The sequence below is a fragment of the Homo sapiens genome, chromosome 14, assembly GCF_000001405.40.
Source record: "Homo sapiens chromosome 14, GRCh38.p14 Primary Assembly".
NCBI lineage: Eukaryota > Metazoa > Chordata > Mammalia > Primates > Hominidae > Homo > Homo sapiens.
The window spans coordinates 37,365,939-37,389,931 of NC_000014.9; the positions used below are offsets into that span (position 1 = coordinate 37,365,939).

A 23,993-nucleotide genomic window follows, 5' to 3' on the forward strand; every position below is an offset into this window, starting at 1 on the left:
GTTGTTTGTGTCTAGGAATGTGTCCATTTCTTCTAGATTTGTCAATTTATTGGCATATAGTTGCTCATAGTAGCCACTAATAATCCTTTGAATTTCTGTCATATTGTTTATAGTATCTCTTTTCATCTTTGAGTTTACTTATTTGGATTTTCTCTCCTTTTTTCTTAGTCTGGCTTTTGTTATATTGATCTCTTGTATTTTTTTTCATTTCAAATTTATTCATTTCTGCTCTGATCTTTATTGTTTCTTCTACTAATTTTGGGTTTGGTTTGCTCTTTCTTTTCTAGTTCTTTAAGATGCATTGTTAGGTTGTTTGTTTGAGTTTTTCTTCTTTTTTGCTGTAGGCTCTTACCGCTATAAACTTCCCTCTTAGTACTACTTTTGCTGTATCCTGTAGTCAATGTTGTGTTTCCATTATCATTTGTTTCAAGAAGTTTTTCAGTTTTCTTCTTAATTTCTTCATCGACCCCCTGGTCATTCAGGAGCATATTGTTTAATTTTGGTGTGTTTGTGTAGTTTCCAGAATTCCTCCTGTTATTAATTTCTAGTTTTCTTCTATTGTGGTTAGAGAAGATGTTTGATATTATTTCAGTTTTTTTAATGTTTTAAGACTTGTTTTGTGACCTAACATATGATCTACCCATGAGAATGATCCTTGTGCTGAGGAAAAGAATGTGCATTCTGCGGCCGTTGGACGAAATGTTCCGTAACTGTCTAGTAGATCCATTTAGTCTGTAGTTCAGATTCAGTCCGAAGTTTCTTTGTTGATTTTCTTTATGGAAAATATGTTCATCTCTGAAAGTGGGATGTTGATATATCCAGCTATTATTGTATTGGAGCCTATATCTCTCTTTAGCTCTAATAATACTTGCTTTATATATATATGGATGCTCGAATGTTGAGTGCATATATATTTAAAATTGCTGCATCCTCTTGCTGAATTGACCACTTTATCATTATATAATGACCTTGTTTGTCTTTCCTTAGAGTTTTTGTCTTGAAATTTGTTTTGTCTGATATAAGCATAGCTACTCCTGCCCTTTCTGTATCATTTTAGTGACAAATTTAACAATTAAAAATATAAACATTTTGACAAATGAATTTGGTGAGAATATCAATAAAATTTGAGATGTGATTAAAGGATAGTATCTTTATCTGCTTTATAACTATTTTATGAAATTATAGAGTGACAGTAATTAATATACTATGCCACTTCCTGATGAATAAACTGTTCAATCCCATTGCTTCAAAATAAATTTCAAAATTGCAGAGTTTAATAAAAGTAAAAAGAAACAAACCAGTATAAATTATGCATAAATATGCAATTGTGGGGAATGTGTTAGGATTTTCAAGGATAATGTCAAATGAAGAAATAATATAGGATTACATAAATTTAAATAAACATTTAATGTAGTTAAATATGCTACAAATATTTATTTTACAAGAACACTTAGCATTTATTTCTTGAGCATGAATGAGTGAATTTTTTATGTTTCTACCATGTAGTTTGGAAAAATCCCTATTCCTGGGTGATTTCTAATTTATTTGGAATGAAAATAATAGGTGGTCACACAACTCTTGACCATGCTTCCTCTTTTTCTTCAGATACACTTCTTAAGTTTCTACTTTCATTTCTTTTCTCCTGTATTCTTCTTTCTCCATGTCAGCTTACAAAATCACATTCCCAAAACAAGCCCAACTCAGATGTCAGCAGCTCCATGAAACGTTCTTTCTCCCATAGCCAAAATAATCTGCCCCACCTTTGAATCCTTATAGGTCCTACTTAGTTATTACATTTTAATCTTAATAATTTTATATTAAATTTAATTGAAAATGTAAAGGATAATTTAGTAGAGAATATCTCTACTGTATCGTGAGTACACACGATAGTACAGTTAGTGCTATGCCGTGTTCATTTTCTCGGGTCATAATTTGTGTCCTTAGTAACACACACTGTGATTTGATTGCATTCTGACCAAATATTTTGTTACTGGCTATAAAAGACAGAGACACAGTTTAATATGTAGATCATGTGTCTCCTGAAAATAAATACCACATAATATGTGTCACAAAATTTTCAAGTAAATTTTTAAAAATGTGATAGGTGAATTAAGTTATCATACAGCTGATGATGGAATAGACATGGCAATGTAAAAAAATCTGCACTGAGTCAGTATTTTATCATATTTGGAGAATTTAGTTTCAACAAAACTATCTGCTAAATTAAATTAATGTTGATTAAAAATGCCTTGATATTATGGTTATTTTATTTATTTTTAAGTGTGTTTTGATTTTATAATTGTATTATATATGTATGAAGTGTGTATACTCAATTTCATATTTGTACACAAACATCATTTTGCAATCTAAGTCAATATCAGGAGTCTGGTAAGACTTTTTCTTCTAAAACATTTTGTATACTCAAAGTTGTGAAATATTGATACGTACTGCCTAATATGATTTGGGTCAGAGGCAGAAGAAATCAGAGTAGTAAGAAATGTCATTTTGGATGATAGCTGCGTCATGATTGTAACATAATAAGTAATGATTTTTTATTCATCTATTATGACAACTATCCATTTGTCAAATAATCTAGAAAGAACTTTTTCCAGATCTTAAATCAGTATGTGTCCTTATTAGTTGTTTTGTAAATATTCTAATTTTAAAATAGATAAATTAAGGAATGGTTTTTAATGTTTTCCTCAATGGTGTGTTTAGTACTTTATTTCTTTAATCCCCCATGTGTCTTCCTATTGTCCTGATTTGCAGCACCCCATTTTATAGCCTGTGTAATTATTATGTGAAGTGTTTTACATATTTATATTGAAATCTTATATTCAAATGGCAAGATATTTCAAAAATTTTTTGAACATAGATGCTTCTATTGGCTCATTGAAACTTTAACTTATTATTTTTACTTATATTCTCTTATATTCTTTACTTGTATTCCAAATAGGTGAAAGTGGTCATTTCACATATCTGTTAACCACTTTTACTTAAAAGTAAAATTTGGTCAAAATGGGAGAAATTAAAAACACTCAATTCTTTATCTATTTCCAAGTCTTGGCACTCTTTGGCTATTGCTTTTTTCCCTATAAAATTGTTTCCTTAGATATTTCTAAAATCTAGAAATATTTCTGAACATATACCTTATAATTTTTATTTTTAAATATTAATAAAATGTGATCATACAATATCATATTGTAGTTTGTTTAGAATCCAATATGATTTTTAGAAGCACAGTTTTATTCAACCAACAGATAGATAATCAGAACCATTTGGTCAAAGAAGTAAATAATTTTAAATATGGTTTGACCTTAATTTTATAAAACTATTTTTGTGATTTATATAACATTCAGATTAATAAACTAACTGAAAATTATAATTGAATTTTTAGAATACTGTAAGCAATGTTTTTATTTATTGTATTTAACATTACTTTTACTTACCATTCTTGTTGCAAAAAAAAAACCTTGTCTTTTAGAGAATACAATGATATTATTTACATTAATTCATGTGGCTTGGTGAAAAAAAATGCTATAACTCCTTTACTTAATGGGATTCTTCCCCTGTGGCAGTGCAAACGGTTAGAGCAGGAGCTTCATCATGTGAAAGAGCAGAACCAGACTTCAGCAAACAACATGAGACATCTGACTGCTGAAAACAATCAAGAACGTGCTCTGAAGGTAAATCTCCGTTCCTTCTTGCAGGCAAATTAAGGTTGTAAGCCCTTGGTGCCAGCTTTCTGTGCTGCATATATCAGTTGTGTACATTTCAGCAGAAGTGAGCTGTGGTGTTTGCCAACAACCCCTTCTTTAAACACAGATACAGCACCCTTTTGTTATGGTATTATTTTATTTCACGTATGTGTACGTGAAAACAACACATTTTCTGAATTTTGAGTGGTGGTATATTAATAACTTTTGGTAAATGTTTATTCTGTTTCTTTTTTATATCATTACCTTTTGTAGTTAATAAAAAGTGACCATACTAAAAGAAAAAAAATTAAATCATGGGCCTTTGCTTTGCATCAATATTTATTATAATAATTTTTAAAAGGACTTGTAATATTCACAGAACTGACAGTCCTTGAAGAATATGTGTTTGGGAAATGAATATGTGTTTGAAGAGCGTGTTTGGGAAATGAAGAGGTACTTAGAATGTTACAATAAAAGAGAGAGAAAGATGGTAAATAATAAATTCAACTAGAACTTTAAACAAGTGAAATACACATTTCATGACAAAAAGTTCTGTCTCATTGTATTATAGATCGAGTAATTATGAAAAAGGACATGGTTTTAATTCTACTAATTGTATTTTTTTCTTAAGGTGCTTGTGACTTTTCATTCTACTTTTTATCTTTTGCCTAGTTCCCAGTATAGTGCCTGTACACAGTAGTTGTCTCTACCCTCAAGGTGCTTGCATTCTCATGCTAACCTGTTAAGGTTTAAAAAAAGAAATCCATGAGAAACAGAAAAGATTCATCAGTTTTTATTGTACAATAAGAAAAGATTTGCTACCAAGAATATTATATTCTACTTTGCTGTCTTAAATTTGTTTTTTTGCTGCATATTACAGAGCAATATCATGGCATTAGCTGTGTAATTCACTAAGCTGGAATCATGTACCAAAATTGAGGAAAATGGTGACATTTTAATGTAGAAAATATTTTTAATCTGTCTAAGAAGTACGAGATTTGGTGGAAGTCAGGTTTTTCCACAAAATGTATTTAACTTCATTTTGATATTCTTAGTGGTAGGCTTATAATAACTTTGTTATATTTGTCTAATGCACTTTTCTTCTTTAGATAGATGAAAACAATACATGAGAAAGGAACAAATTATAGATTGCTGTGATTATTTCTAATTACCCCCAAGGAATTTACTATTTTATGAAAACTAATAATAATTTTTAAAATGTATACTTGCAAAATAGAAAACAGTATTTGAAAAGCAGCTTCCATAATGTGTGCTAATTTATTGTCAGTGTTAGGGGACAGATTTAATGGGCTTAATATGATATGGCAGTCTCCATTTAAAACAGCACCTAAGATAAAAATTCTAGTTTGTTAAGTATATATTAATTTCATGATCTTTATTCTGGCACTTCTGGTTGTGTGTTTCTGTTTAATTTAATGAAATGATAGCTGCTATTTATGGAGAGAAATAAAGAAATAGATGGAATAATTTTTTTTTTTTTTTGAGACAGTCTTGCTCCATTGCCCAGACTGGAGTGCAGTGGTGTGATCTCGGCTCACTTCAAACTCTGCCCTCTGGGTTCAAGTGATTTTCCTGCCTCAGCCTCCCGGGTAGCTGAGACTACAGGTGCCCACCACCAAGCCTGGCTAATTTTTGTGTTTTTAGTAGAGTCGAGGTTTCACTATGTTGGCCAGGCTGGAAATAGATAAGTTGAAAACAAATATTAAACCCTCATAAGATAGAAATTTCTGCTAACTGAAGACTACTATCTAATTTAAAACAATGTAGCTATATTTTCACTCTTGACAAATATACTATATTAAAATCTTTTCTAGTTGCTCATTTTTTTTTGCAAAAGTCTGAAATTTTTCTGTTGTCTTTTAATCCTTCATAACATTCATTAATAAGCTAGCTTAAATTCTTGGTGAAGATGAGAGGAAGAATTAATTTTTTAAAACTCATCAACTCAATCTTTTTTAAGCATCTGTGTTCATTTAAGCTTGTTTTAAAATGGTCTGTCTTGCATAACACTGACTGAATAATTTTTTATTAATTTTATGCCATATTTCCTCATGAGAAGCTCTAAAGTTGTTCTGAAAATTAGGTCAATTATAAAACATTTGCTTTATTCTGAATCATTTTTTAAAAATTACTCTTACCTTCCAGGAAGTTTTTGTTTTTTATTTGATGCATTAATTATAGCACTATGTACCTTTAAGTTGTCATATGAGTTATGAATAATAAGTTTACTACCAAGCTATCTGGTGAGAACAGTTTGCCTCCTTTCTGAGCAATATGTTTATCTTTTACAACTTATTTGTAAGTATCATTTTTTGGTTAACTGATTTAATATTTAGTTAGTATCTAATAAGTGTCAGGAACAACTCTTTAAAAACGATTCACTGTCTCTAAAGCTTTCAGTCTGCCAATAATATTTTTAGTATTTTATTATAAATAGTACTGTTATTAATATCACTATTAAATTCAACTTGAGTAGGGTAAAAACTGAGCAATTCATGGTTTATTTTATTGAATTACACTGAAATTCCTAAAGGAATTTCAGTTCTAGAGATATATTTGGGGGAATACAATCACAATTAATGGTCATAGATTACATGGAACTTTCCAAAATAATTATGGCAAAATCAGTTATCACGTAAGGAAATACTTTTTAATAATCTAGTGTCATTTTAATAATAATGTCTTTATTTGTTCTAATAACCAGAGATCTTTTTCTAAATGACTTTTTATGGTAGAGACTAAGATTAGATTTTTGGTGATCATTTATAAGCATTCTTTTTAACATAGGAGGCAATTACACTAGATAATTTTGCAGGCCAGGCGTGGTGGTTCACACCTGTAATCCCAGCACTTAGGGAGGCTGAGATGGGTGGATCACTTGGGGTCAAGAGTTCTACATCAGCCTGGCCAACATAATGAAAACCCGTCTCTACTAAAAAATACTAAAATGAGCAAGGCGTGGTGGTGGGTGCCTGTAATCCTAGCTACTCAGGAGACTGAGGCAGGAGAATTGCTTCAGCCCAGGAGGCAGAGGTTGCAGTGAGCAGAGATTGTGCCACTGCATTCCAGCCTGGGCAACAGAGTGAGACTCCGTCTCAAAAAAAAAAAAAAAAATTGCTAGGCATAGCACTGTTTCTCCTACTTTTATGTTTTCTATTTTCTCTAATAACAAGTAAAACACAGTGGTATCTATAGGATAAGGGACTGAATTATACTGATACTAGTATATATTCTGAAAGTTACTTTTTTTTAAAAAACAGCTTATTTTCTTGTTTAAAGTAAATTTTATCTACTTATGTTAAGAAATTAGTTTCTGGAAGAACATGTTTTTGAACATGTGATTTTGTTTGTTTGTTTCTTCGTTCTGAAACAGTCTCACTCAGTCGCCCTGGCTGGAGTGCAGTGGCTCGATCTCAGCTCACTGCAACTTCTGCCTGCCAGGTTCAAGTCATTCTCCGGCCTCAGCCTCCTGAGTAGCTGAGATTACAGGCATGCACCACCACGCTGGCTAATTTTTGTATTTTTAGTAGAGACGGGGTTTTGTCACAATGCCCACACTGGTCTCGAGCTCCTGGCCTCAAGTGATCTGCCTGCCTCAGCCTCCCAAAGTGCTGGGATTACAGGCATGAGTCACCAAGCCCAGCCTTAAACATATAATGTTTTTAAAATAAATTTGCATTAGATGTAAATATGTAGACATCAAACTTAGTAAGAAAATTCATATATATTGCCTTTCTATCCTTTTTTTTTTTAAATTATACTTTAAGTTCTGGGGTACATGTGCAGAACATGAGGGTTTGTTACACAGGTATACACATGCCATGGTGGCTTGCTGCACCCATTAACCCATCATCCACATTAGGTATTTCTCCTCCCCTAGCGCCCCAACCCCCAACAGGCCCCCACGTGTGATGGTCCCCTCCCTGTGTCCATATGTTCTCACTGTTCAACTCCCACTTATGAGTGAGAACATGTGGTGTTCGGTTTTCTGTTCCTGTGTTAGTTTGCTGAGAATGATGATTTCCAACTTCGTCCATGTCCTGCAAAGGACATAAACTCATCCTTTTTGATGGCTGCATAACATTCCATGGTGTATATGTGCCACATTTTCTTTATCCAGTCTATCATTGATGGGCATTTGGGTTGGTTCCAAGTCTGCTATTGTGAACAGTTCCACAATAAACATAAGTGTGCATGTGTCTTTATAGTAGAATGATTTATAATCCTTTGGGTATATACCCTGTAATGGGATTGCTGGGCCAAATGGTATTTCTAGTTCTAGATCCTTGAGGAATTACCACACTGTCTTCCACAATAGTTGAACTAATTTACACTCCCACCAACAGTGTAAAAACGTTCCTATTTCTCCACATCCTCTCCACCATCTGTTGTTTCTTGATTTTTTAATGATCACCATTCTAACTGGCATGAGATGGTATCTCATTGTGGTTTTGATTTGCATCTCTCTAATGACAGTGATGATGAGCTTTTCTTCATATGTTTGTTGGCTGCATAAATGTCTTCTTTTGAGAAGTGTCTGTTCATATCCCTTGCCCACTTTTTGATGGGGTTGTTTGTTTTTCGGGGGGTAAATTTGTTTAAGTTATTTGTAGATTCTGGATATTAGCCCTTTGTCAGATGGGTAGATTGCAAAAATTTTCTCCCATTCTGTAGGTTGCCTGTTCACTCTGATGGTAGTTTCTTTTGCCGTGCAGAAGCTCCTTAGTTTAATTAGATCCCATTTGTCTATTTTGACTTTTGTTGCCATTGCTTTTGGTGTTTTAGTCATGAAGTCTTTGCCCATGCCTGTGTCCTGAATGGTATTGCCTAGGTTTTCTTCTAGGATTTTTATGGTGTTAGGTCTTATGTTTAAGTCTTTAATCCATCTTGAGTTAATTTTTGTATAAGATGTAAGGAAGGGGTCCAGTTTCAGTTTTCTGCATATGGCTAGCCAGTTTTCCCAACACCATTTATTAAATAGGGAATCCTTTCCCGATTGCTTGTTTTTTTCCAGTTTTCTCAAAGACCAAATGGTTGTAGATGTGTAGTGTTATTTCTGAGGCCTCTGTTCTGTTTCATTGGTCTATATATCTGTTTTCCTACAAGTACCATGCTGTTTTGGTTACTGTAGCCTCGTATAGTTTGAAGTCAGTTATCGTGATGCATCCAGCTTTGTTCTTTTTGCTTAGGATTGTCTTGGCTATGTGGGCTCCTTTTTGGTTCCATATGAAATTTAAAGTAGCTTTTTCTAATTTTGTGAAGAAAGTTCATGTTAGCTTGATGGCGATAGCATTGAATCTATAAATTACCTTGGGCAATATGGCTATTTTCACGATATTGATTCTTCTATCCATGAGCATGGAATGTTTTTCCATTTATTTGTGTCCTCTTTTATTTTGTTGAGCAGTGGTTTGTAGTTCTCCTTGAAGAGGTCCTTCACATCCCTTGTAAGTTGTATTCCTAGGTATTTTATTCTTTTTGTAGCAGTTGTGAATGGGAGTTCATTCATGATTTGGCTGTCTGTCTACCCTTTTTAATAATTATTTTCATTATTATTATAATTTTTTTTAGATGAGTGTCTCACTGTGTCACCTAGGCTGGAGTCCAGTGTCACAATCACAGCTCACTATAGCCTCAACCACCTTGGCTTAAGTGGTTCCCCCACCTCAGCCTCCCACATAACTGGAAGCACGGCATGTGCCACCATGCCCTGCTGATTTTTTTATTATTTGTAGAGACGAGGTCTCAAACTCCTGGGCTCAAGTGATCATTCCGCTTCGACCTCCCACAGTGCGGGGATTACAGACATGAGCTGCCATGCCCAGCCTCCTTTTTAATTTATTAATTTACCTTCCTACTCACACATTTCCTTCCTACAGTTGGAACTGTCCAATGTAATTCCATTGAAAGTGAATCTTCCTTAGATTATAAAAGAGCTCTGATTGTTAATAAAACTTTGATATTTATTATGTATTATCTTTACATCCCAATCAACCTAAGAAGAATAGCTCATTTCAGTCTTGTTGGGTCCCACCCTCTTGACACACTAGTTTTCTTTCCTTTCTTCCTGTTCTCTCTTTTCTCTTCTCTACTCTTCTCTTTCTTTTCTTTCTTTCTTTCATTCTTACCATGTTACCCAGGCTGATCTCAAACTCTTGGGCTCAAGCAGTTCTCCTGCCTCAGCTTGCCAAGTAGGCAGTTACTCCTGTGACTGGCTTTCTGTAGTTTTCTGTCACCATATCTCCATTTTTTTTCCTCTTTGTTTGCTCTTCCTTACTTAGTCTTAATTGGTGGTGCTTATTTTTCCATCTATTTCTAAAGAATAAATGTTCTCTGGGTTAGTTATTTCCTTATTCTTATTTTTTAAAATAAACTTTGCTTTTTAGAGTAGTTTTAGGTTCACATCAAAATTGTAAAACACAGAGTTTCCATATATTCACTGGTCCCACAGACATACAACCTCTCCCACTATCAACATCCTGCACCAGAGTGGTACATTTGTTATAGTTAGTGAACCTACATTGACACATCATTGTAACCAAAAGTTCATAGTTTACATTAGAATTCACTTGGTGTAGAACATTGAGTGGCTTTTGATAAATGTTTAATGTTATGTAGTCATTATAGTATCATGCAGGACAGTTTCACCGCCCAAAATATCCTCTGTGGTCTGCCTGTTCATCCCTCCTGACCAGCTTTTTGCTGTTTCCATAGTTTCGCTTTTTCCAGAATGTCATATAGTTGGAATTATAGAATATGTGGCCTTTTCATATTGGCTTCTATAACTTAGTAATATGCATTTAAAATTCCCATATATCTTTTGATGGCTTTATAGCTCCTTTTTTTAAAGTGCTTAAAATATAGGGCTTTTTTCTCTCTTGCTCAAAAAAAAATCAGGATATAGTTGCTTAATGTTCTGTCAGTGACTTATGGGCTAAGAGGTTTGCTGGTGCTAAACTCTTAGCACCAGCTAAATCACATTTAATTGTGTGGATATACCACAGTTTATTTATTCAGTCATCTACTGAAAATCATCTTTGTTGCTTCCAAGTTTTGGCAGTTATGAATAAAGTTTCTATAAACACCCATGTGCATTTTGTTTGTATGGACCCAGGTGTTTTCAGCTCATTTGAGTATGTACTAAGGAGTGCAATTTCTGGATCATACGTAAAAATATGTTTAGTTTTATAGGAAACTGCCAATTGTCTTCCAAGATAGTTGTACCATTTTGCTTTCCCACCAGTAATGAATGAGAGCTTCTGTTGCTCCATATTCTCACCAGCAGTTGATGTTTCTTTTTTGTAGTCTTCTCAATTTAATCTTTTCCTATGGCATCACCTATCATTTTTGTCCTAATGACTCTATGTCTGCTCTTCCACTTGAATATCTTAATGTCTGCTTAACCACAGCAAATTTGAAACCAAATGCCTAATTTGACTCTGTAAGCCTTCTACCCGGGAAGGAGTCAGGACCTGAGTCAAACACTATTGACTTTATAACTCAACATTTATTTCCAGTCATACTCTCCTTTGCATGACTCTGCTATAGACACTGGAAAAGTTAAATACTTTCTCAGCTTTTCTTTTTACCAGTGAGTCATAAAAGCGAATCTGCAGCAGTAGGGGAGGAGGAAAGAGGGGCATCTTTGTAAAAGTTTTTGTTTTCCTTAGATAAGGGCAGATGAAGTAAACATCACTCCTTCCTCCCTTCTTATTACATGCTGTCTGAAACTGCAGTAGTCATTTTATAGTCATGAGACAAAGGCCAAGGGTAGCTGGCTGTAACACCATTGAACCTCTTAGCCAATGAGCCACTGACAGAACGTTAAGCAACTATATCATCAGCAACTTTTTGGGGGGCAAGATAAAATAGCCCTATATTTTAAATCATTCTTTATGGTTTTCTATTATTTACTGCCAAATTGGTCTATTAACATCTATCAATTAATGGTACTACCATCCTTCTAGGCATGTAGGCTAAGACAGTTGATATAATCTTCATATCCTCTCAAGCTTTCCCCTGCCAAAAAACAATTCAGCATTCAGTCTTGACAGGAGTGCGGTGGTTATTTCTTTCCTATTTTTATGCCTTTTTTTTTTTTTTTTTTAAGAGACAGGCTCTTTCTTTTTGCCCAGGCTGGAGTGCAGTGGTATGATCATAGCTCACTATAACCTCCAATTCCTGGGCACCAGTGATCCTTCTGAGTCCAGTATTACTGAAGCAGAATGTTTGACAAAAGTAGCTGAAATCTTAAACTCTGACTTTACTATTTTTAAAACTTTTTAAAATTAAAATTATCTTTAAAAATTTACAAGTTTATTAAAATCATAATGAGATATCATGTCACACCAATTGAATGGCTAAAATGAAAAAATACTGATATACTAAATGTTGACAGGATGTGGAGAAATTGAATCTTTCATACATTGCTGTTAGGAGTGTAAAATGGTACAGCTACTTTGGAACATTGGCAGTTTATTATAAAGTTAAATTTATACTTACCATATAACCCAGCTATTGCACTCCTGGATCTTTATCTCAGAAAAATGCAAATGTATTTTAACACAAATCATGTACATAAATGATCATAGCAGCTTAATTCATAATTGCCCAAAACTAGAAAGAAGCCAAATTTAGTAGGTCAACAGATGAATGTCCACACAATAGAATATTACTCAACAATAAAAGGAAACAACCTATTGATACACCCATGACTCAGATGGGTCTCAAGGGCATGATGCAAAAGCCATTCTCAAAGGGTTAAATTTATATGATTCCATTTTTATATAAGTCCCAAAGTGACAAAATTATAGTGATAGAGAAAAAAATCAGTGGTTGCTAGGAGTTAGGTTTGGGAACAGGCTATGACTATGGAAAGGTAACAAGGGGGTATTTCTTTATAGTGATGTAACCATTCTGTATTCCCATTGTGGTGATATTAAAATGTCACAGACTTATATGCCGGGGAGGAGGGAAGGAGGAAAGGGAGGGAGGGAGGGAAGGAAAGAATGTAAGAAGGAAGGGATGAAAGAAAAGAGAGGGAGGGACGGAAGGAAAGGAAGAAGGGAGAGGGAGTCAAAGGAAAGAAGGTACTTTCCTAGCAAAATATACAGGCCACTAAAATTGACTTAAGAAGCAGAAAAGTAGACGGATGTATTGAAACAACTGAAAAAGTAATTTAAAATTCACTGTATAAAAAGGCACTAAGACTATATGATTTAAAAAACGGATCCTATTTACTACTTAAGCCAAGATCATTCTAATGCAATCTAAACAAGACCACAGTGAAAGGTAGAAATTTATATCATTCATTAAGCTAGTAATCCTAATATAAAAACTGATACAGCCGAAACAATCTTGAAAAAGAACAAACTTGGATGACTCACGGGTCTTGATGTAATGCCTACTACAAAGCTACAGTAATCAAGATAGTATGGTAATAGCATAAGGACAGACATACAGATAAGTGGAACAGAATTGAGAGTCCAGAACTCAACCTCATACTTATGGTCAATTGACTTTTGAGAGGGGTGACAAAACAATTCAATGGGGATAAAAATAGCATTTTCAACAAATGGTCTCAAGACAACTGGCTATTCATATGCAAAAGAATGCATTTGGATCCATACCTCATCATACAACATACAAAAGTAATTCAAAATTTTTCACAAATCTAAATGTTAAAGCTAAAACTATAAAACTCCTAGAAGAAAAAACATAACTGCAAATTTTTGCGTCCTTCAGTTAGGCAAAGCTTTCTTAGATCGAAACCAAAATCCCAAGCAACAACTAAAAAACAGTTAAGCTGGGCCTAATAAAAATATAAAACTTCTGTGTTTTAAAGTATACCATCAAAAATGTGAGAAAACAACCCACATAATGGGAAAATTATTTACAAATCATATATCTGGCAAGGAACTTATATCTAGAGTATATAAATCTTATAACTCAGCAAAGAAAAGGCAAGTAACCCAATTCAAAAATGGGCAAAGTATCAGAACAGGCATATTTCTAAGGCAGTGGTAGCTTTGTCATTGCAATTTCAGTTCATTGGTGGTAGTGGAAGCCTTGACTCTTGTAAATGGAAAGTTTAAAAGTAGAAAAATGTAAATTTTTTTTGAGGAGCTCAGTTATTAAGTAAAAGTGGGAAGGTTAGTGTATAATGTGTATGTAATACTGAGGAAGATTTGTTTTAAAGAATGAAGAGTGTAACAAATCTTTTTTGTTGTCTACTCAAATTCATTTACCCATCCTTCAACCATTCTCTTTCTATAAGAAATCTGATGCATGGCCGTGTAACCCAAAGCCACCTAATGACCTTGAGCTATATGGCCTGGTTTGAAAAGGTAGTAAGTCAGATTACTCCTTCAATAATTTGGAATTGGGATACTGAAAGGGAAGGGAGCTAAGTCAGTTTTGAATGCTAAACCAAATGATCATGAAGTAGGCCTGGGTCCATGTAGACAGCTGTAGACTATGGGCAATCTGAAGTTATGAAGCAGTCAGTTGGAAAAGCGGAGAGAAAGAAGTCAGTATATAAAGAAAACACCAATTTTTGAACAAGGGAGATGGGGAGAAATTCTGCCTTGGTTTCTAACAGCGTTCTGTTCCCTTGCCAGCCTTTGTTTTCCACAGAATAATTTTTTTCTCAAGAGAATGTCTTTCTTTACAAGCAAGACTCTCAGCTAGACCAGGTTTACAGTCTTTGCATACCAAATGTGGAATTGCTCTAACAGCATTCATTGTGTGCTGTCTAAAATGAACAACTACAGTGAAAGGTGATTCCATGGATTATAACACCAGGTATAGTCAAATCATTATAGCCTATGCAGGTTCATCAAGTCCATCAAGACACAATAAAGACTGATGAGATGCAGATGAAACAACTGTGAACTATAACCTCTGCCATGAAAGGAATACTGAATTACTGTGAGAAATTTCTGTGGAGATTATTTATGACAAATGTAAATGTAATACTTATGATACTTGCATATAATTGCTTTTAACATTGGTTACTAATGATGTTTTTCTAATTGGGAGTTTCATAGTCAGTGTTGTTTTAGGAATTTGATACTTTATTTTGATAAGTAATGATAGAAATATAAAATTACATTGCAAGCTTCCTTACAGGAACTGTTTTATACATTTTGTAATATGCCACAAATTTTAAAAAATGAATACTTGAATGACGGCACAAATTTTTAGTAGGAGGCTGAATTTTAGGCCCAACAGGCAGATGTATCAGTATGTTAACTGACTTTGGATAGATCCTGGAATGCTTTTCCAACCTTTGTGTCACCTGGTCTTTGTATCCAGCATTTTCTCTGATGGAAACGCTCTATATCGTCTATTCCCTTACTTTGTTCAGCTAATACCTACTTATCCTTTTTTCAGTTTGGCCACAGTACTTCAGGGAGAGGAATTTGGGTGGTAGAATGAAATTGTTTTCATAAGAAAATGTTCACTGACCTGGAAAAAAATTGAATATGTAAGACTCTCAGTGTTCCCAGGTCTTCCTCCTAGGCCTTTCCTATCTCTGCCCACATCAATAGTAGGTACCTTCATTACTATCTTCCTCCTTACCTTCTACTCTCATTGGTGATAGTGGAAGCCTTGACTCTTGTAAATGTAAAGTTTAAAAGTAGAAAAATGTAAATTATTTTCTAAGGAGCTCATTATCTTCTCCCTTCTTTTTCTGACCCTATTGACTTTTCGTATTACAATGGCCAAAAGGGTGTAGAAGAGCAGGTGTCTCTGATATATTTTTGGAAACAATGTCCTGGATAGCTTTAAAGACAATACCTAGCAGAGGTCAGGTTAGGTAATAAATATAGGTTAAAGGTTCTTTACAAAGGCATGTATTTGAATAATCAAAAAAATGTTTCCAAAATAGTAAAATCTGGCCCAACCCAAAGTCTACTGAATTGGAATTTTTTTTTTTTCAAGACAGGGTCTCCTTCTGTCACCCAGGCTGGAGTGCAGTGGTACAGTTGTAGCTCACTGCAGCCCCAATCTTCCAGGCTCAAGTGATCCTCCCACCTCAGCCTCCTAAGCAGTTGACACTATAGGCACACACTTCTGTGCCCTGCTAATTTTTTTTTTTTTTATTTTTAGTAGAGATGAGATCTCACTATTTTGCCCAGGCTGGTCTGGAACTCCTGAGCTTAAGCTATCTTCTCAGCTCAGCCTCCCAAGGTACTGGGATTATAGATATGAGCCACTGTGCTTGACCTGAATTAGAATATCTTACTCTGAATTTGAAAACTTGCCTAGTGTAGACTTTGTGTTTGGAAGGTAAAGTAAGGACAAAATAGTTCCTCAACCTTAGTTTTGTTTGATTTTCAAGTTGATTTTTATATTAGGATGATGTCAGTATTTTGGAAGCATTATCAGTTTTATGTCTTTTTAGTGCTTTCTTGGTATTTTAGGGGGAAGAATTGGTTGAGGCTACATGGTGAATGCTGGTCAAATGAAATTTTTTCATTCTTTGAGTTTTAACTATTTCCAGTAACTGAATTCTATGTAAAGTTGTGCCCTAAAGTGATTTGGAATAAGTGATATATTAAATTCTTTGATGAATTGCAGTGTAGTAATGCTGTGAAAAGCATAGCATAAAGTCCAGATTGGTTGTTTGAAATACTATGAAATTTAATTTGTTAGATCTTAAAACTTAAGCGTTCTTTCTTAACTAAAAATATATTTTTAATAAATAAACTTACTATTGTCAAATGCAATTAACTTACTTTACTAAGTATTTCTGCTTTGAAACATGATATGGAAAGTAGTTGAGACTTTCATTAGAGATTACATAAAATTCTCAGTAAAAGTAATTGCATTTACCAATGTAGTTTTCATACCAAACTAATCTTTATTTTAATATTTTTGACATGAGTATTGACGTTTAGACATACGGTTTTTACCAGTTCATCTAAAGAACTTTAGCATATATATTTCTTTTCAAAAAAATAACATTCACAGACTGACATAGATATGTCCTCTATAACAAAATGACTTTATTGTGTTGTTCAGTGTTGGTTAGTTTTTCTGTTATGTTGATGCATTAAAACAGATATTAAATTTTATCATTAATTCAGTGCCTGGTCTCTCATCAAATCCCCTTAATTACAAATTGACTCCAAGGATTAGATAGCATGGATTTTAATTTTAACTGAAACAAAAAAAGGCATCTTGGAAAATCACTCTTGCCTACTGACTCATAGACACATTTTATAGATCCTATAATTTATTACTTAGTATTTAAAATTCGATACAAAAAGCATATTTCCAAGATTTTTATTCTTTTGTATTTATATTAAATTTTTTTTTAAGAATATATTTCACAGTCTTGAAAAAAATTTCATGTATCTTCAGATGAATGTCACCCTCTTGGAGTTTTGATAACTTACAGCCTTTTCTTTAGAAAATGTTAACTTTGAATCGTGTACAACCATAATCGTATCTAAATGGCATTTATATTATCTTTTATTTGTACGTTCTTAATAATTTCACAAAATCATGCAACATAGTTTTACATATTCCATGCAAGTGTTTTCAGTGTAATCCAGTATCTTGTTTCAGGTATTGTTTGTGATTTATGACTATTTAATCTTCACTTTCTTTTGATACTTGCTATTTTAGGTTTAAGTCCAGAGTCATTTTTGTGTATTTTATTCTCAACTTGTATCAGCATTTTTGTCCTTCTTTCTTAAAAGTGACAATTTTTTACATTGAATTTTAGTACATAAATTACTCATTTTAAATACTAGAAAGACTATTATTTTTACTAGAAAAGGAGGATAGTGAAATTAAGTCATGATCACAGCCATCAAAAAAGTACATTTGTCCATTGTGTTTTTGCTCCGTTATATGATGGTCAGGTTTTAAGTCTGAGGTGCCTCTTTTAAAAATTTTCATACTGTAATAGTTGCTGGAATCTTACTTGTGTTAGTCATTTACTGGTTTTTATCTAGATCTACAAGTTTTCAGATAAGTACTTTACTTTTAGAAAGACCAAGAAAGAATTACCAAGAAAACTTGAGTATTCTAAGATATATTAATATCATTTGTTTTAATAAATTCTGCTGTGTTAATTACCTTCACCTTTTGAGAGGTTGTAAAATGTAAGTAGTAATCTTCTTTCTAATTAAGCAAATGTTTTATATCTTATATTTTTGTAAATTTGATTTTTAAATGACATTCCTTTACTGGCTTTTGTTGCTGTTGCTGTTAAACTGGATTTTTATATGCTGAAAGATATTTAACATACAAATGAACTCAGCTCATCATGGCAGAGGAAGAAATTCATTGCCTAGAAACAGATTGTTTGTGTACTATTAGATGGTAATATAAACCAACAAAAGCAAGGAAATTAACTTCAATACTGACACACTGCCCTTTCCTTGCTCTTTTGTGCCCATAGATAACATGCATATTTTATAATACCAGAGTATAGTGGACTCAGTTAAGAATTGTCAAACTTAATTCTAAATGTCTTTACTTCGTTGGTTTGTCACAACATTATTATTTTGTCTCAATACTATATAATGTCGTTCACATTTGAGATGAAGCAATGCATGGATGGATCTGAAAAAGATGGCAAAACTTTACTTTTCTCTTATTTATTATTGATTGCTTCTGCTTAGCCAAATATTATATAGCTCTGATATTAGTTCTTCACAATTTTTAAAAAGGTAATAGAAAATGATAAAATATCTGAGGAAATTTTGGGAAAAATATAGCTACTGATATAAAATTGTCATTCAGTTTTATTTTTATTCCTATTCATTAATTTTTATTTTATTATTTAAAAAGGCAGACATCTCTTTATTTAAAGCTTACAGCACAAAGAAACTACCAGTTTTTTAAAAAAAATTATCAAATATACAAACAAGTGTGATTTCAGAGAACATTTCTTACATGGATTGCACAAAGGAATTATTTGTGAAATTCTGAGGGTAGGACTAAACCTCTCAAAATAACCTCCAAGATTAATTTGGGAACTGATTGATACTTACTTGGCCATTCCCTTAACAGTACCTGTTTCTTGATGTATATGGTGAAATATAAAGAATTAATTTTTCTTTAGTTCTTATATTTACTAGTTAGGTTGTAACTTATCAATTCCTAATGAATTTTATCCCTGTTTTTTAAGGGCAATTTTATACAATTATAAGTAATAGATTGATATTTCAGTGTTTGAAAATTGATTCCATATATGAATTGATTCCAAAACCTGAGTTCCATGTTTTGTAGCAGTTTGGGAATTATTTTACTTTCTGTCTTCTATTTTTCTCTGTAAATGATTTCTACTCCTACTTAGGTACCTATTAGGATACAGTTTTCTAAAAGAGAATTACATATTTCAGTTAAAGCTCTGCATTTTTCTGAGTTGTACGTTAAACTTTCCAAGAAAAAATCAGATATTTTCTGTAAAAACTATACGATAGAAGAAATAATCTAAATGTGGTCAAACAAAAGATTTTGCTTTAAGAACTAAAGAAACTGCTGTAAAATATGGTGGAAGAGGGAGGGTGTGTAAGGTTGGGGTGGTGGAAATTTTTAAAGAAATTCCACTTTTTATCTTATGTAATTAATATTTAATTGGCTACATTTAAAAGTAGTGAAAAAGTGATCTATTTGCTAGAGATTACAGAACAACACTTTAAGCTCTTACTTATTCTGAGGTGTTGAAAGGTGAAACATTTGACATTTTCTTTTCGGGTATTGCTTTAAAAAACAGAGGGCGGGAAAGAGGCGTTGCCACATCAGAGTTAAGGGTGTTTGTGGTTGTCCGTGACAGCAGCTCTAGTTTTAAAACACCTGTGTTTACTTTCCAGCTTTTCAGAATCTGCCTGAAAGTGGCCTAAGAATGGCACAGGCCTTCAGGATGGCTGGTTTTTTTATAGTACAGAAAAAGAACTAAACTTTACACTTTTATTTTCTGTTGCAAGCATTTGGTTCTTCTATTTTATACATTTTATCCCTATACATTCTTATATATGTCTGTAAGATAATGCATGATTTATATAATCTATACATTATACTATAATGTAACCATTTTTTAAAAAAAAGATTTCTTCTCAGCCTTTTGTTCACTGACTAGAAAAAGTTGATGAAAAACTGCTTTTTCCTGTGCAAATGTATTTTCTTTCTTAATTGAAAGAAGTTTGTGAAAAATAAAAATTGATATACCATTTTAGAGAGAAACAAAAGAAAATTGCATGAACCAAAGTGGCCTAACATATAGCTTTGTTAATTTTTTATCCTTTATCCTTTTATCATTTCTCAAGTTTTCTTTTTATATCTTTTGCTTTATAGGAGTGGTTTTTAAAAATATGTTTATAAACCTACAAATGTAATTTTCCCTTTAAGTTGATTTATGTCTTCTTTAGTGGTTTGGAAATAGGTTGAGTTTCAGCCTACCTGTCATCTCTTAGCTGGTCATTGTTTCCAATTTATAGACTTGTGCTTTTTAAATAATTATATGGTACATTTTTATTATTTTATGACATTCATATGACTCTGAAATATTATATAAACTTTATTCTCAATTTGAGATGTTCCTAGCTATGATATTTTAGTTTAATAAAATTGAGGTTCCTTTCTGATTTGTTTCAGTATTTATTTTCAAACCTCTTTAATTCTTTAGTACAGTAGACATAGCAAGATGTCATATATTCTGTGATGCATTCCTTCTACATGCAAATTCTTGATTACAGTAGCAGACATTTCCATGAGATTACAGTTATGTCAAGCCTGGTTGATGCAAAAGAGGAATAATTCTGTCTTTTGACAATAAATTGATCTTGTTTCTCCATATAACTGGATTTTTAAACACTTTTTGTGTAGTTGAAACCCTTTTGAGAAGCCAATGCAAATGTCGAGTCTTCTCCCTAAAAAAAAAATACAAGTTTACAGAAATTTGCATAGAATTCAAGGAGTTTATGTCCTTCCCAAGCTCACTGATGAGCTCTAGGTTAAGAACCTGTATTCTAGGTCTTATTTTATTTGGATAATTGTTAATTGTTTAGATAGTTGCTTAGACAGTTGTTAATGTAGTAGAGAACAGATAAATCACTGAGTCAAATACAGAATTAAGTGCTTAGTTAATTAATATGTCACCATGTTAGGTGTTAAAAGGCATAAAGCAATAATTGATCTTACTAGCTTTAAATATAAATAGTATTTTAACAATATCGTTCATACTCCATAATGGCTACACATATATCTGTGTTCTAATCCCAGCTTTTCAATGGATTTGAAATACAAATTATAGTTATCTCATTTTTCCCAACAGAGCCAATTGATAATATGGCTATTATCTATTATACCTATTATCTCAAAATAAATTCAACAAGTGTCATTGCATAAAAGCTATAAAAATAATATTCAATAATATTCCATTCAAAAACCGTAAGTTTGGTGTTGATATCCATCTAGGTGAAGAATGCTCAGCTGCAGACAGTACCTTAAAGGAATTATATATGACAATGTGTATTACCTAGAAGATAATGAAACTGTGAGGAAAATTACTAAAAACTGAATTTTTAAACTATGAAAGTATTTAGGAAACATTTTTTGAATATAAGGAAAGTGGTAAATTTATTTTAAATGGCATAAATTACATAAAAATAACTATAATATATTAATAAGGATTTATAATAGTTCTGTATTGTATGTAGTTTAACATGGATCAGAAGAAATATTTTGATCAGATGAAACAACTACTAAGGAAACAATAATTTTATTTCAAGTGTTCCATTTTCATTATTTTCTGTGACTAGGAAGGAAGTAAAGGGGAGGAAGGATTCTCGTAGGGCTATTAAGACTTTGTTTCCAGAACCTCAGATTGTTGAACTTAAATCATGAAACCTGATACAGTATTTCCATTGAGTGTATCAGTTTTGTCCTGGTAACAATTCCCATTTGGTAGTGCTATATACCTGTGACCTAACTTTCAGCCTAATTTACATATATTCACTTTATTGTATAATATGAAATTTAAGATTCTCTAACAAAAATGTGATACACGTATCTGTCTCAAGGACATTTTTAACTTCCCTATTTATAAGACCATAGTTTTCTCTATGGCAGGTTTTTTAAATCTGGAAGCTATCAGTCTTGTTTTTAGAATGTATTTATTATAAAATATTGGGTGTTTTACAATCATGCTTCTCTAAAACTAATATTTTCCTATGTAATTCTAAAGAGAAAATGAGAAAACTTCTAAGATCCAAAAGATGTATTAAAATAAATAAATAAAGGAAACTTGAGGTAGAAATTAAGATAATTGAACCAAGAGAAGGGAAAAGCAAAGATGTGACTTAAAACGATGCAAATGTTTGATGATGCTACTTGGAAAATTATATATTATTTCTTGTCCAACTATAAGTGCGAACCAGAAAAAAATGTTATCAGTGATTAGGAAAAACATTATGTAACAATTCCTAAACAATATAAGAGCTTAAGAAACATCGTCAGACTCTCATCTTAGAAAGGATAAAAAAAAAAACTTGAGGTAATCAGCGTTGTTGAAGAATTGTGGGGTTTTAACAATTATTTGTTTAAAAGAAAACTGAGACTTTAAGCACCTGTAAGCCTTTTTGTTTCAACTGTTATTGACTGTCTTTCAAAAATGCATTAATACATTTGCTTGCCATGGTAAATTTTGTAAAATGAATGTATTTGTATTGGATAGTATTTGCTTGTTTCAAGGGTTAGAAAACCACACCCCAAATTGCTCAAGCATAAATGAAACTTATCGTTCACATAGTTGAAAAGACCAAGGACAGGGCTAACTTCCAGAGATTATTTTTGGGTTTTTTTTGTGTTTTTTTTTTTTTTTTACTTTTTTCAATCAATTTTGTTGACAGTAAATTTCATCCATTTAAGGTATACAGTTCAATGCATTTTGACATATATGTCCACCGTAATGAAGATACAGAGCATTTCTATCATCCCACCAAAATATTTTTTTTGTGCTGCCTCCCAACCTCTATCCCCAGCCCAAACAACCACTCATCTGCTTTTTTGTCACTATAAATTCACTTGCATTTTCTGGAATGCTATGCAAGTAGAGTCATATAATACCTACTCTTTTGTGTCTGGCTTCTTTCAACATGATGATTTTGAGATTCATCCATGTCGTGTGTAATAGTAGCTCATTTCTCTTTTAACTTCAGCAAATTCTTGCGTAGGACCCCAAAACTTTTGTTCTGTATCTAGGTTTTGTTTGCTCTCCTCTATGTATTGGCTTAACATTCATGAGGTAGAAGCTTCTGCCTTCTCAACTTACCAGTTGAAGGCTAGAAGGAAAAAAAAGTTTTTTATCAAAAATAAAAACAGAAATTCTAGAATTGGGTCTTTTAAACTTGAATTGGACTACTGGAGGTCATGTGCTTATTCATTTATCTCTAAAATGATTACTGTGACCAATGGAGTGAAATATACTGACCGCCTTAGGACAATCTAGGTCTGCTTCTAAGGATATGTCATGAATAGGGGAAGAATGATTTTCTAAAAGAAATTGGAAATATTTTCCTACCAGAAACACTAAAAAAGAATGAAGGGTGGTAAAAAAAAACAAAAAACAGATTTTTACTGTAATAATATGTCTTCTTCATAAGACTAAAAAATGTATGCTGGCATGTAGTAAAACACACTTCATTTCTATTTCTTATATTTTCAACTCTTGAAGGAAGAAAGATAATCCCAGAGTTAACATGTATGTGTAGATAATATTTATATACGTAAATGAATATTGCACCTAATCACATGATTGATATAGATTAGATCTCTTGTTTTCCAGCTGGATTTCCTGACATTCTGGTAATCTGAGACTTTCTTTACTCTTTTTCCTGTCAATTTTTATATTATATATTTATTGTTCTATCTTCTGAGGCTTGATTTTGGATTCTCGAGAATCTTTTATTCATTGGAGTAAGAAGACTAGAGAGACTAAAACAGTTGAAGTGAAGAACCTGAAAGGAGAGCTTATTTTTGCAGCCACTTTTATCTCGTAGGCATGTGTTGATTATCTGCAGGCAGAAATCTGAAAATTCTAGCTTTTTACTCATGGAGAGCCATTGTCTGGTATTTAAAGAAAAACAACAGATTTTTGGTTGATACTGAGGGGAGGGAGCATTAAGTACACATCCAGTAGTGCCTTATGGATATCTGTGACTGCACAGGTTTGGAGATTAAAAACAAACAAAAAGTCTGAAAAGCAGGATGGATTTTGCAGCTGTTTTATAAGAACTAGAGGCTGGGCACGGT

The 23,993-nt window shown here is 32.7% G+C and overlaps 1 protein-coding gene and 1 long non-coding RNA gene across 14 annotated transcripts in view; one reads left to right on the forward strand and one right to left on the reverse strand.

Moving 5' to 3' along the window:
- MIPOL1 (mirror-image polydactyly 1) overlaps positions 1-23,993 on the forward strand; it is a 354,425-nt gene that overhangs the window by 168,002 nt on the left and 162,430 nt on the right. For 10 of the 13 annotated variants that reach the window (NM_001195296.2, NM_001195297.2, NM_138731.7 and 7 more), the window contains one exon: positions 3,579-3,686. The exons of the other annotated variants lie outside the window; for them this stretch is intronic. In NM_001195296.2, the coding sequence (NP_001182225.1) occupies positions 3,579-3,686 (108 nt within the window). The remainder of the gene's footprint in view (positions 1-3,578; positions 3,687-23,993) is intronic. 13 annotated transcript variants of the gene reach the window in all.
- Positions 18,494-22,912, reverse strand: LOC107984702 (uncharacterized). The gene is made up of 2 exons (XR_001750960.2): positions 22,813-22,912; positions 18,494-20,611 (listed from the first exon to the last, which is right to left on the reverse strand). It is a non-coding gene; the product is annotated as an uncharacterized LOC107984702 (long non-coding RNA).